Consider the following 15,187-nt stretch of genomic DNA (forward strand, 5'->3'; position numbering starts at 1 on the left):
TCTCAGAAATGTTGTGGAGAGTGTCCCTGTGTTGTGGAGGGAAGTTTGTTCTAGCTGACCATTAACTTTCCCTCCAACTCTCAGCTTTTAGTGTTGAACGAATTGGTGGTGGTGGGAACCAAACATGCCTAAACCTGGTGTGGCACAATGGGTTATTGTTCAGAAAATACTCACTCAACTTACGCTCCTTCTTGAGATAGAGTATAATTCCTTAGCCTCATTGACTTCAGGCTTGGCCGTGGGACTAGCTTTGGCCAATGAAATGTTAATGGATGTGGTTCATGTAGAGTCTTCAAATGTGCTTGCTCAATTTGGCTCGGCTCATGAGCCCCCGTGATCCACCATAAGGGGCTCCCTGTAGCCACTGCCTCTTCATCCTAGGACTCAGAACCAACAATGTGGAGCAGTCTTCAACCCAACGTGCAGCCTGAAGCCAAGCCTAGCTGGCCCAAGCTTAGATCAGCAGAGCCTGACTTGATCTCCGGACCTATGACTGTGAGAAGAAATGCTTCTTATTGTAAGCCACTGAACAGTGGGGTGGCTTATTATGCTGCAGTATTGTGACAAAAGCTGATTAACAAATGCCTGGTTCACCATAAACAGAGACACTTGCTATATATATTGTGGTATTGGCCCTTTTAAAAGTCATTATTCTCCCTGCTACCCCTCTGCCTTGGGATTCCACCTTATGTGAGTATGTGGGGGCAGAGGAAGGAGATGAGTGAGTGGCTGTTGGCTGATACACTGGCCCTCTTTACACTGCCTTGAACCTAAGGATCTTCAAGAAACTACTGGGTTTTGTTTGATATGTCTTTAAAACAATTTTCAGAAGGAGGCACTGTGCTATAGTCTCAAGGTTCTCACATATACTTGAGACTGTGCTATAGTCTCAAGATTCTCTTTGTGCAGGTTGTCTTATGTCATTCTTGTTCTGCCCCTACTTAGGTAATAATATTTGGGTAAGCCTATCAGAGTATGGAAAGAGCTTCTTTCTTTTAGGGCCTGCAGACCTTAGTGTCCCATATTTGAGTCCATGTTATATTGTTTGCCATGAGAAACTCTTTCACACAGTACCAGTACCACAGTACCAACATCAGCATTTTAACACAAATGCAAAATCCACCTCTGTCTTTGTTTGCCTTCTGTACAAGCAGAAACCAGCCTGAATTACCATAGTGGGCTTGTGAGAGCCAGAGCTGCGTATGAAGATAAGGAGGAAAGGAACTGAATCATGGGCTGGGTGGAAAGGCAGAAGCTAGGCACAAGACAGGAAGGATGAGCCAGGAGATTCCTGAAGGAAGTCACTGGTGCCTACTCTAAGTTATCTATGGCTTCTCCATGATTGGATGGGCCTTTCAGATACTTCTCCTTTAAAGCCTTAAATTCTGAAATTGTTCATGCTGGCTCTCTTTGGTATCCCTTTCATATCTGGGTTTCGTACTGTGTGTGTAAGGAGAAGAGGGAAGAAAGGAAGGTGTCAATGACTATACAAGAAATATCTCATTTACATTTGGAAAGAGGGAGCAAGTAGCAACTCTCAGGACTGCAGGAATCCAGGCTGACTTTAGGCCCTGCCTGTCCCTCTTTTTTCCAGAGGCCCAGAGTAGAGACTTTAACTGAAGAGACAAGAGTGCACTTACATGACTAAAGTAGGGTGTAAGTTATTGGGAAAGGAGGGAAGAAAGCAATCTATGTGCATATGGAAGAAAGGAATGCAAGATAAGAGGAGAAAAAACATGTGCTAGACACCATATGGTACCTTACTCAATTCTCACAGGAGTTCTTTACTAACCTGTCTAATATATAAATAAGAAAATTAAGGTAAAGAGAACTCCAGCAACTTGCTCGATATCTCATGGCTAGTTAATTGGAGGATTAGGAGAACACAGGTAGAACTAGGATTAGAATTCACATCTATTTCTAGAAAGTGGAAGAAAATATGAGTGCCATTCAGACCCAACCCTATAACCAGATGTTCAAATGTTAGGTGACCTGAGATGCCAAAAAATAATAATAATAATAATAATCAACTCCAGAATGGATCCCCCACTGACTTATTCTGATGCCTAAATTTCCAGTATTGTTATTTCCCTTTCATTGGGTTAGATCCATGTGTCTCAAACCAGGGCTTGCACAGCCCAGTAGGTACGTGGCAGTATGCCTGGGATACTACAGGAGAATCATGGTACGTTGTTTGAGAACAGTGGCTTCACTCCAAAATTTGAGAGAAGTTATATCAAAACAAATGCAAATGTTTTATAAGATGCAAATTGACCTAAGTTTAAAAGCTAAAATGCGAGAAATTTCAGATTTACCTTTCACTACAATCTCAGAACCCTAAGCATAGGAATTCTTTCTACTATAAGGGCCACTTTGCTAGAAAAATTTGAGAAGTGCTAGTTTCCAGCACCCTGTCCCCTGGAAGCCTCTGGGAAAATGAACACATGTTGACTATTAGTGGTGAGGGAACATTTACAATCACTGCAAAATGTGAGCTGTTGAGGATAGATAACCCCTTAGACATCACCCAGCACAGAGAAAATACTTGAAGTTATGAGACCCCAGAAGCAGAACTTTGAATTCTGGGTGTATACAAGTCATACTTGTTGAGCAACAGTGGGAAAGTGCTTCAGTGGGACATCAGAATATTGTATGTGTGGGGTAGGGTTACTAAAAGGCCATCTTTTTCTTCATTATCCATTTACTCACCCTGCAAACCTTCAAGAACTTTCTCATGCTCCCTTTTCAGAGAAAATGCTCAGAGATCTATGAAAAGGGTAGCAAACCACGTGAGACCTCATCTCCTCTCCAGTCACAGGTGACTTAACCATAGGTGGATACCACACTCAAGGCAGTGTGTTTGGAATGCATTTGTGTACATGAAAAACCCAGGCATTCTTTAATTTAGGAGTATGAAAGTTGGAGTTACAAACTAACGTTAGTCAGTGTCTGATGGACTTGTGAATGGTATAAAGCTGGAGATCATGGTGGCCACATGCATGCTAAAGCAGTGAAAGTCAGTAGTTTTTGAAAAGATAAAACCAGATGTGCAGAGAGAAGCAATCAGGAGAACGTGCAGTTCTGGGGAGATAAAAACATAACTTTAGTTTCTGAGTTCTGGCCCCTCATGAAGCCTGACTGTTTTGTGAACACTTCTGCACCTTTCCAATGAATTCCATTGGTTGCTTAAGCTGGATGGAGGAGTTTCATTCCTTCCCACTAAAGTTCTCTGACAAAGGTAGAGGGTGTTATCACAAAGAGGGTTAGAACATAAGAAAATGTGGCACATATACACCATGGAATACTATGCAGCCATAAAAAAGGATGAGTTCATGTCCTTTGCAAGAACATGGATGAAACTGGAAACCATCATTCTCAGCAAACTATTGCAAGGACAAAAAACCAAACACCGCATGTTCTCACTCATAGGTGGGAACTGAACAATAAGAACACATGGACACAGGAAGGGGAACATCACACTCCGGGGACTGTTGTGGGGTGGGGGGAGGGGGGAGGGATAACATTAGGAGATATACCTAATGCTAAATGATGAGTTAATGGGTGCAGCACACCAACATGGCACATGTATACATATGTAACAAACCTGCATATTGTGCACATGTACCCTAAAACTTAAAGTATAATAATAATAAAATAAAATAAAATAAAATAACAAAACAAACAAACAAAAAGAACATGATCAAAACCCAACTTTACCTGGGTGTAGCATAACCACAGAATTTATCATCCTAACGGGGACATTTGGGGCGCTGTTAATGATTACTCCAACACAACAGGAGAACAAGGATGTTTGGCCATCCTTCCCAAGTGGTAAAGAAGGGAAATCAGGTATTAATTGTTTGCATTTCCTAGATACTCTTGGCTGCTTACATCTATGCTATTTCATCAGACAGTCACCATAACCGTATCTAGCTTGTCCTCTCAGACCAGCAACTGAATTAGGGATGAATGAATTTACAGGCCACTCAGGAAACTGGTATAAGAGCCAGGATAGGAACCTAGGTCTATCTGACCACAGATTCTGTTCTCTTCTCACCAGGCTCTCTTCTTCCATAACAGTTTTGTCTAGGGCCAAGCTGAGATAAGGCTACAGTACCAGCATCAGCATTCTGGGGCTGTTTGAGAGCAAAGATCAGTGAGAAGAGAAACACATGCAATCACACTAATCTGTCAGAAAACCCACGCCCACCCTATTGATGCAAGGACAATGTCTAGCCTCGTTGCTGTTTGAAACGCCTTTCAGCTGAAGAAGCAAAATGAAAGGAAATTTCCACTAGCAAAGAAGGAAATTGAGGCAATTTTAAGACAATTTAGGAGAAGCCCCATTTTTTACCTGAGTTATTTGAGGAAACAAAAGATTAAGGGTCAGAATTTTTCAGATAATTGCTTGTTTTCCTAGTCTAGCAGGTTTAACACTCAGGCTTTCTTTTTGGAACCTGTATTGTCCTCACCATACAGTGAATACCCACCAACTTCTAGGTAAGACCTGTGTGGCAAAAGAAAGACATAGTGGGAGAGTAGAACCTGTTAGTCTCATTAAGACTCAGGTGAAAAAGTCTCTTCATTAACATTCTAATGAAACCCTGGGTTTCTTTCTGCTGAAATGCCAACTATAACAGGAAAATAATTAGTTCCGAGTTGTATATCCCTTTTCTTATCAGGCACTTCTAGCTCTGAGGACTAATCCAGTCCCAATCAAACAATTACTTGATGATTAGGGCTTCTGGGATTTGCTAACCATGGTGGGGAAGGTGCCAGGTTATTTGTGAGTCAGAAAAAGGGGTAATTACTGCCAACTGCACCCACCTGTTTATCCTTGGTAAGGGGTAGTCTGCCAGGATAGTAATTACATCTTAATTCCAGGCGACAAGACCCAGATAGGCAGTGAGCTCTCCATTCACAATGACCTAGCTTGAAGAAGGCTCCAGCACCTGAGAGGGAGGGCTTTTTATGCCATTAAAGGGTCCCAGCTGTTTTCCCTACCACTACTTTCAGAACCACTGATGATTCTGCCTTTGCATGGTTTGCTTGAAGTATGGGTTTCCAATAAAATCCCTGACTTTGTGAGAAGGTGAAAGGGTGATGGAAGAATTTTGAAGGAAGTTGTAGTATGGGACAGGGAGCACAATTTGGGTTGAGGACCTATTATAACCACTTGGCACTGTGCAGTCTGAGGCCCAAGGTCTGACCTCATAAAGTGTGATCACCTGTGGCTGAGGCCATGTAAAAGGCATGCTGGCCTTGCACTGGTTATCTGGAAGCCAGAAAAATATGTTTGACACAAGGCAACTTATCAAACCTTATAAAATGGAAATGTGAATTTTTATACATTGATGATAATAGAGAAAAAAACTTTTTGAAGAAAATAAGGAAATTGGAGCATGATTGTTTTTTGAAGAACTTTATAATAGTGTAAACCATATTTACACTATTTAGTGTAGTACTCTTCGTATGGTACCACATCTACCCACTATTTTCCTGACATTTTTCATGCTCACAGAATTGCATCATAGCAGTTAGGGAACCTCATGATTTCTCTTTTGAAATCCTTGAGAATTATTTAAATGCTTATGTGATTTTTCTTTGCCTTTCCCGACACAACTCTGAATCCAGAGAAACAATTTTAACAAAATTACCTGAATGCATAACCCCAATATATGTATGCACACAAACTTTTAGTGGTCTGCACTTAGAATACTTTTTATCTACAGAGGAATAGATAAAAATGCCTTTTGGTGCTAAATAATCAGACAGTGTCATTCATTCTAAATGAAAAAACAATCAAGTTGAGAAGAGAGTGGCATAAAACAGCAGCTGAACAGAGAAGTTAATGAATGTGAAGCCAGAAAACCAGAAAAAGAATTCCATCATCTGATATGTGATTATTTCTTATTACTATCTTAACAAACAAATTTTTTTGAGACTCTGTCGCCCAGGCTGGAGTGCAGTGGCGCAATCTCAGCTCACTGCAACCTCTGCTTCCTGGGTTCAAGTGATTTTTGTGCCTCAGCCTCCAGAGTAGCTGGGATTACAGGTGGCGCCACGACACCTGGCTAATTCTTTCTGTATTTTTAGTAGAGACTGGGTTTTGCCATGTTGGCCAGGCTGGTCTCGAACTCCTGACCTCAAGTGATTTGCCCACCTCAGCCTCCAAAAGTGCTGGGATTACAGGCGTGAGCCACCACGCCCGAACCTTATCAATATTTTTACCTTTCTCTTTGGTAAAATCCTTTTTTTTTTTTAGTTTTTTATAATGACCTTCAAATAAAAATATCATTTTATTTAAAGATTTAATAATGGCTTTCTCACAGAACAACTATTAAATAGTTTTTCCTGAGAACTTTCAATTAATTTCATTTCCCTGGAAATCATTGTTTTGAATCTAGTTTTCTTCCAGGTGGTCAGAATGCAAACATTACAGAAATGTTTTTCTTTTGTTCCAATTTTCTACCCTAATATCAACTTGAGCCTTTATAATTGGGAAAATTATATCAACACAGATGAATTTTCTTTAACAAGATAGCATTTTATTTACTTGTTACAACGATATCGTTTAATGATGGTGTCAGTTGCCCTGAAGAACCTGCATTTTGTTTCAAAATCATATGCAGTGATTTCTTTAAAGGGTAGGTCACTGCATTGTCTGGATTTTATGGGTAACTTTTAATTCATTATTTACAAACAATACTTCAAAATATAAATTTTGGTCAAACAATCGAACTGATTACTTCATTGGGAGAAGAGGAAGAAAGGGAAAGAAGGAATAATTAGAGCAAAAATGTAAGCATTTCATAAAGTTATGTCAAGAATTAAAGACAAGTTCAAGTTGAAGTTGAGTAGCTTTAATAGCAGTCCTTTAAGTTTTATTACATCACCTGGGCTGTTAATTTGCTACACCTACTTATACTCTGGTCTTTCTTCAACCACTACCAGCTGGCCAGCAATGCACTTTTGCCCTGGGATTTTTAGCTAAGCAGGTCTTGTTACCTTCAAAACCTTTTTAAAAGTTATGACTAAAAAATATACTTTGTAAATCTTTCAAAAAACAAGGTTTGTAAACACATTGGGTGATATTCCTGTCTTATTTAATGCTTGGTATTAGATATAGGCATCTATTACAATTTTTTAAAATGCTGTCAACTCTCCAAGCACTGCCCTTTCTGCAGCTGTGATTGGCAAAGCCCTGGAGGTTCTGTCACCCAGGAGGCAGGTAGGTACTCCTTAGTAGCGGCTGAATAACACCACATTGAGCGTCACACAGAGGCCTGGATCCAGCCTTCCTTCTTCCACTCAGACACACTGTCTTGTGTGGTAACTGCACCCCATGGAGCCAGATATCCAGGCTTCAGTCATTCATTGAAATACTATCCCATAAAACACCCCCTCTATCTTGCTGGGCTAGGCCCCTGGCTTTGTGCTGTCATGCACACGCTTAACTTCTCTGAGCTTAGGAATTTGCTAAGAAAATCATAGTCCCAGCTAGGTTTCTAAGAAAAATGGTTAGATAGGACAAACACATTTTTTGTTCCATTGGCTTCCATTATTATTATGTTTTAATGCACACATTATTTTAAATCAAATCAGGGATTTTTCAGCCAGAAGAGGATGAAGTTGTTTCTGAGAATGCAGATAAAACCAAACATTAAACTTCAATAAGAAAAACATGCAACTTGAGTTCCAAGTAAAAAAAACAAAACAAAACAAAACTCTAGATGTCTTCAAATAATCTTGGCCAAGATCCTGGGTGTGGGAAGCCAGAGTGTGGTTCAAACTCAGGGATGGATTGAAAGCCTTCCTCTGCAGATTGGACTGACAAGGCTTGTCTATCAAAGAACAGATGCCCAGGGTGGCTCTGGGAGAGCACTGCCCAAGTTCTGGACTTTTCAAGGTCAACTCAGAATCTCAAAGAAGAAATAATATGAATGTCAAGGTTGGTTTCCTAGACCCAGGAGGTGGAGGGTCATGTACACAGATTCACAGGCTGTTGAGATCTGGAAGGTGCTGCCCAATGTTATAGAGTAAGAATCAATCAGGATCAGGATCAATCATATGTTGGGGGATGGGAGAAAACAAATAGTCTGGAGTGTTTTACATTGATTTTTCTTTCTATTTCACAAGTTGGATGGTATCTGCCAAGTTCTTTGGCTGTTTTGTGCCCCACATATGATGAATTCCGGTGTGCAAATATTATTGTGCACTGTGAGAACCAGGAATTGTAATCCAGGCCTTCACAGTGCACAATAGCATACCACATGCAGGGAGTAAAATACACTGCTTCCCTAAAGATGTTAGAAAAAGCACATTAGTTCTGAAGCTATTCAAATAGCTATTCAGAATAGCTGGTTCAAATAGCTATTCTATCCTGACCTCTATGGCTCAGCAGAGAAAGATTCATTTAAAAAGCAAAACAAAATGATCTAAAGCCTGATATTTGAAACTAGGCTATTTTGGGGCAGTATTTACCTGGTTCAAAAGACAATCCACAGTATAATCATTCACTCATAAGGAAGGCTCAAAACAATTAAAACAAATCAGTACTTTTGTATTAAGAATATCTAAAACAGCAGATTTAAAAGTCATGGAACAATTGGAAAAGCTTTGCCATTTGTTTTGCCTACTTCCCTGGTGCTGGTAATTGTGACCGAGGCAGAGAACTCTGGGCAGACAGGGCAGGTCCCTGGCAAACCTCCACCTTCAAGTTGAAAAGCTGAAGCCACCATGGCCCAAAGGAAGAATTTCCATCCCTGTGTGTGCCTGCTCTCTCCTGATTGTTTCTTCCTGAATAATGTCTTTTTATCAATCAAATGTTGCCTTTTCCAAAACTACCTATGGCCTGCCCTGCCTCCCATCCTGTGCCTATAAATATCCCAGACTCAGCCAGCAGAGGGAAGAAGTGGCTGGACATCCAGGTAGGGCGACTTAACTTCAGAGACAGTGGCGGGTTGAGGCAACTTGACTTTGGAAGAGAGAGGCAGAGAGGAAGCTTGGCTTCAGGGGAGAGGGACCTGCCCTTCCCATCCCCTTCCCAGCTTCCCTCTCTGCTGAGAGCCACTTTCATCACTCAATAAAATTCTCCACATTCACCGTTCTTCAGTTTGTCCACGTGACCTCATTCCTCTTGGGCACTGGACAAGAATTTGGGATGCACCACATGAGTACCCAAAAAGGCTGTCACACTGGCCCTTTGCCCTTGCTGGCAGAGGGCAGCCACCGCATGTGACAAAGCAAAAGGCCCACTGAGCTGATAACACACTGCTGTCTGCAGGTGGCGGAGCTAAGAAAGCACTGTGACACACCCTCTGGGGCCTTGGGGTCACAAGGGCCTGCACGGAGTTTGCTCCTGCCAGTGGAGTTTGCTCCTGCTAGCACTGAAGCAGCCAGCTGGTTCCTGCACTTGTTTGCTCGCACGCTCCCTCTCGCAACAGGTGGAGCCTGGTGAACCCAAGTGAATGGAGTTTGCTCCCGCTGGGCCGCTGACCAGCTCTTGCACTTGCTAACTCTGATTCCACACTCGCTTGCTTGCACACTCCCTCCCGAGAGGGGTTGAGCAGAGCAGGCTGAGTAAATGAGGCACCCTTGCCACAAGTCCTATGAAGGGGTTGAGAAAATACCCTGCATCACTGGCAGGCACAGCCAAGGACATGCCTATGCTCAGGTAAGGATTATTTCCAAATACAGTTTGGGTTCAACTGTTTTTCAGACCAAACAGGTTTGGGGAACCCTTTCTTCAATAAGTTTCTGCAGGAGTAAGCAGAGTGATAGGAGAAGGCCTGTGTTGGTTATAACCTACACACTGCACTTTGTTTCTAGGGTGAAGTGTGCCTCTATAGGAGCCAAAAGAAAGAGGAATTTAACCTGCTTCTCAACAATAAAAACGAAGAACTATGAAATATTATAAAAGCTAAGAGATTTTTTCTATAAATCATCAAGCTGTATGTCTCTTGGCATTTACAGACTAACAATTCTTTTATCTGCTATGCATTCTAGATATACGAAACTCAACTTCTGGCAAAGGAGGGGGAGGGAGAAGTTCAAGTCACCCTGCCCTACTCTTCCCTGAGCATTGAAGGTTAACTCTGCCTTGACCTCTATAATTCCATGTTTTGTCCCATGATGCCTGTGTTCACATCCTAATCCCTAGAGCTTGTAAATGTGTTACCCTATGTGGCAAAAGGGACTTTGCAGATATGATTTAGAATTTGTAATGGGGAGATTATTCTGGATTACTCAGGTGGTCCCAATGCAATTACAGGAGCTCTTATAAGGGATAGAGGGAGGCAGGAGAGTCATCAAAAGATACATCACCACGGAAGCATGGGTTACGATGTGATTGCTTCTTGGAAGATGTAAAGGAGCCACAAGCCAAGGAATGTGGGCAGCCTGTAAAGCTATAAAAGGCAAAGAAGTGGGTTTTCCCCTAGAGCTTCTGAAAGGAATGTGGCCATGTCAATACTTTGATTTTAGCCCCATAAGACCCATTTTCTAAATTCTGACTTCTAGAAGTATAAAATAATAGATTTGTTTTGTTTTAAGCCACTAGATTTGTGGTAATTTGTTTCAGCAACCATAGGAAACAAATTCAATGCCTCATCATACATCCATGAGCAGAGGAAGACATTCACAGAATTCTCAGCAACTCTGGTCATTTCGGGCCTGGTCATTCCAGATTTAAGGGTGTTAGGGAATCAGTTACTCACCACTGAGGCCTCATTCAGAGCTCAGGATGGAGCCATTTTCTCCCCCAGCTGCAATGAGCTTGGCTTAGACTTCATGGGATGCTTTTGCTTCTGAATCTGTGAATCAAGGGGGTTGCACAGGTGAGTTTGCATACCTAATTGCCTCACACTCTACTTCTATCCTTCAGACATCAGTACCATTGTCCAGAGAACCTGACATGTTGTATGCAATTTCTGTGTCAGAGTGGACCTGAGAAAGTTCCTGGTGCCTAAATATGGGTTTTGAATCGGCATTGGTGATATCTGCCATGGTGGCATTCTGAATTTGATGACATAAATTGTCCACACGAATTGTCACTGAATCCTTGGTAAGTTTCTCCTCTGGTGGAATATCTAATGAAATAGTTCTCACGTCTACTTGGATCAAGCTATCGTTCATGGCAGGATAACAAACAAACCAGGTTCTTTGGCTCCTCATTATATGATGTGGCCTGATCTAAAGATTACAGCCCTTTCATATTCTTTTAGGATAATATGGAGAAAGTTATGATTGGTCAAAACTCCACCTGCAAGCCTATAGTGGGCTCCTCTTGAGGGAGTCAGGAAAAACCATAACTAGGTGTCCTCAAGGTGACACTATCGGTTGGCTGTCAGAGTCCAAGTCTCTGTTATCACTTCACCAGAACTGTAGTGGCTGAGGAATATATTGGTATTTTTAAAAAGCTCTCTGGGTAATTCTAACACACGGCCAAGGTAGGTTATAAACCACCATTCCAGGACATCTCTATGAGTTAAATGTCATTAATATCTTCATTTAACTGAAGGCAAAATCAAGGCATGGAAAGGTCACTTAATTTGCCCAAAGTCACACAATAAGTAAGGGACAAAGCTAGGATTCAAATGCAGGCTCCAGAGCCTAAAATGCATGGCTTCTCTATTACCTTGTGTAGAACTGAATCCTAAGCACACAGCAGAATTCCTATTATTCAACAAATGCTTGTTGAATGGATAAATGAAGGAATAAATGAATGTCAACACCTATTTGTGATATAGGCTTTCATTAAAATATTGATGGGTATGGGCTTAATATTACCTTTTAATTTACAAAGTACTTTCATACACTGTTTTGCTTCTTGTTCATTCGTGAAACATTTTTTCTAGAACTTAACTTTTAATTCTGAAACAAAAGTCTTGAAGTAAAGAAAAAAATACTAAATGAACAAATAGTAGCATTTTTATCCCCAAGCCAATGAAAAATAATCTTTTTTGAGCGCCACTATATTCTAGGATTTGTAGTATGTAATTTTCAATGTCATAATTTTATTTTAAACAGCTGACTATTTCTCATATTGAGAAATTCATTTTTGGATAGCCCAGAGCTAAATCAACTCAGAGATTAAAATAAATAAATTTTATTTGACTCCACTTTTAAAATACTGATTCAAGAAATGCTTCACTTCCCTAATGTAGCATAAATATATGTTTCATCCTCAGAATCTTCAGGATCTCAACAATGTTATCTTCCTAATCATTTAATGACAAAAAGGAAGTAAACAGACCAGAAAGCAGATTTTTTTTAAAGTTTAGAGCAATTTGTTACATGGTAGCATTAAAATGAAAACTAAAGTAAATCTTTTTCTGTAAAATATAAGTCCAAGAGATGCAAAAGCTGATTTTACCACAAACTGCTTGTGTACTAAAATAAAATGGAAAGTCGAGGAAAAGTAGAACAGTAATTGCAAATTGCCTTTTATATTGTGGTTGAAGGCACTTTCCTGTTCAATAATTTTAATAAAGAAATCCCCCTGGCCATCCCCCTGATCAGTTTGAACATAATTCCAGCATTATACACATTGTTCCCTTGGGCTTATACCTTCATGGTTTCAAATTATGTCTCGTATCCTGCCAAGACTTAGATCAGTCTACCGTAGTCAAATATTAGACTCCAAAGCAACTAGAAATTCATGTTTTCCTGTTTCAAAAACAAAAATCTATTTACAGTCAGCCTATCATTATTTTAATTTTTAAACTCAGCAGTCATTAGTAGAATTATAGACCATTCAGAAAGATAATGTTCAACTTAACTTTGTGGTACTTTCTTCTCCAAACTCTCAGTTAAATACCTTTAGACATTGGTTCCCAGCCTGCAGGATGTAGGTCTCTGTGGCGCCAGGATGTTAATGCAAGGGATTCTTTGCTTCCTGGATGGCTGTTTACTGGATAGCTAAAATGTTACACGCAGAAATGCACTACCATTTTCCAAATATACATAGATGTTAATGTGATTCATAAAATTTCCATTCTTAGTTAATTCACTGTAGCAGTTTTTCATAATGTATTTCCTCCGTCAAGTGACCACTGCTTTTGGGGAGGGATTGTAGTATGCAATATTTCTTGACATCAAGAAGAGGTCCTCATGATTGAAAATTAGAGAAGATACATAGCAAGGGAAATAGACACGTGAATGGTGACCTCTTCTGTTATACAGTATGTAAGAACAGCAGTAAACGCCTCCTCAACTAATTGTCAGAAGACTGTGTACTTCTCCTGGCTCCTTGTGATAGCCCTGAGTAAATAACTCCAAATAGTTCAAGCCCCAGATGTTTTCCATAGACACTTGAAAGTACATATTAAAACTTTTCTCGGTTTGCAGAGCAGAGGGCTGGCACGCCTTCATAGAAGGAATAGTTCTTCCACTGGGCAGTTGTGACAGAATTATATTCATTGCAAGCAAGGCCCTTTCAAGTATTCACATTTGGGATCTTATTGCATATCTAGGGGCATCGTCAGGAAACAGGAAGAATTTTTAAAAAGGATCTAATATAAGTGGATGGTGTAGCTGATCAGTTAGCAAATGACCGTCAACAGTACTGGCTGGAACCCAGCGAAGTGCAGGCTGGAGGCAGAAGAGAGCTGGGCCATTTCCTTGTGTGACAACCAATCTCTGTCCTTGGGATCACTGCTACTATTTATTTGGAATTTATTGAGTCAGCAACTGTTCTAAATTCATTGCCATCATTATTATGTTTAAATCTTGTTACAACCCTTAGGAGATAGCAGATGAAGAAAGAGATTCTGAGACGTTAGGTGGTCTTAAGTTCCCCTAGGTAGGGAGACTCGGGCCTGGAACTCGGATTTTTTTTTCTTTTGAGATGGAGTTTCGCTCTGTTGCCCAGGCTGGAGTGCAGTGGCACGATCTCGGTGCACTGCAAGCTCCGCCTCCCGGGTTCATACCATTCTCCTGCCTTGGCCTCCCGAGTAGCTGGGACTACAGGCGCCCGCCACCACCATGCCCGGCTAATTTTTGGTATTTTTAGTAGAGACAGGGTTACACCGTGTTAGCCAGGATGCTCTCCATCTCCTGACCTTGTGATCCGCCTGCCTCGGCCTCCTGGAACTCGGGTTTAACCTTTAAGCCTATGCTTTAGTAAATATTGGTGGCAAGACCAGTCTCTCAGCAGAGGTGTGAAGTAGGTGAAGGAAACCAGAATATATCACCCCCAAATATGCCTCATGGATATAAAAATTATTTTTGAACTAAAGGTAACTATGAAGCAGCAAATGAAGAGCTCTCTCTATCTTCCCCTTTTCTGCCTAAAAACAGTATAGATATTCTCCCTTATAGGAGACAACTCTTAGCCTAGATACAGTGCCAGGGGAATCTGAAATCAAATGTTACTTCATTAGTTTCTTCTCATGTATTTATCTTCCACATTGTCTGGCCTTCGGAAGCCCCAAACTGCTTTCCTTCATTCTGGCATTTCTCTCTAATTTTATCATTCTTTGTTGAAGATGCTATACAAGCCAGAGTTCCAAGCCACTGCTTTGAGTTACTATTCACTGGGATTTCTCTCATGTGATGTGCACTTCATGAATTATTAAGTTTGCTTATTTTTCTCTTGTTAATCTGTCTTTTGTTACAGGGGTCTGTACCAAGTACAAATTTATGAGACATGAGGAGAATATATATTATCTCCCCAACATGAGCAAAGTTAATCTTCTTCTCTCATTGTTTCCTTCCATTACTTACTAAATGCTCTGGGTACCCCAGCCACCACTTCTATATATTGGGAGCCAGAATAACTTGGTGGCTCAAAGCAAAGGCTTTGGAGTCATACACACTTGAATTCGAGTCTGGATTCTGTAACTTGCCAGCAATGTTATCTTGTACAATTTACTTAACCCATCAAAAACTTGTCCCATAAGGTTTTTATAATAAAATCACATAATACCATCATTCATTCAATAAATTTTGATTGAAAATCCACTGTTTGACAGCAACCTGCCTATGAGGGTTAACAACACAGAGTTCTTTCTTCATAGAGCTCACATTTTAGTTTGAGTCAGGTAACAAAAAATAAAACAAATAAATATATAATTTTAGCAAGAGTACATGCTATGAAAAACATGCAGCACAGTTAAGGGAGTGAGAATGATGGGGGTGAAAGGGATAATACCATAGATATGGTTGTAGTGAACATTAATGTTAA

The 15,187-nt window shown here is 40.6% G+C and overlaps 1 long non-coding RNA gene and 1 pseudogene across 1 annotated transcript in view, besides 1 other annotated feature; one reads left to right on the top strand and one right to left on the bottom strand.

Moving 5' to 3' along the window:
- Positions 8,721–9,319: an enhancer, noted in NCBI's record as "H3K27ac-H3K4me1 hESC enhancer chr6:80113984-80114582 (GRCh37/hg19 assembly coordinates)". NCBI's record gives its function as "activates a minimal SCP1, AML or CMV promoter by ChIP-STARR-seq in naive H9 embryonic stem cells {active_cell/tissue: H9 hESC(naive)}" and the evidence as "EXISTENCE:reporter gene assay evidence [ECO:0000049][PMID:30033119]".
- Positions 9,501–15,187, top strand: part of LOC100506851 (uncharacterized) — an 84,650-nt gene continuing 78,963 nt past the window's right edge. Inside the window, exons 1-2 of the long non-coding RNA XR_001744215.3 lie at positions 9,501–9,676; positions 10,886–11,065. This is a non-coding gene — a long non-coding RNA (uncharacterized LOC100506851). The remainder of the gene's footprint in view (positions 9,677–10,885; positions 11,066–15,187) is intronic.
- Positions 10,603–11,304, bottom strand: LOC100418713 (stomatin pseudogene; annotated as a pseudogene).

The sequence above is a fragment of the Homo sapiens genome, chromosome 6, assembly GCF_000001405.40.
Source record: "Homo sapiens chromosome 6, GRCh38.p14 Primary Assembly".
In the NCBI taxonomy this organism is placed as follows: domain Eukaryota; kingdom Metazoa; phylum Chordata; class Mammalia; order Primates; family Hominidae; genus Homo; species Homo sapiens.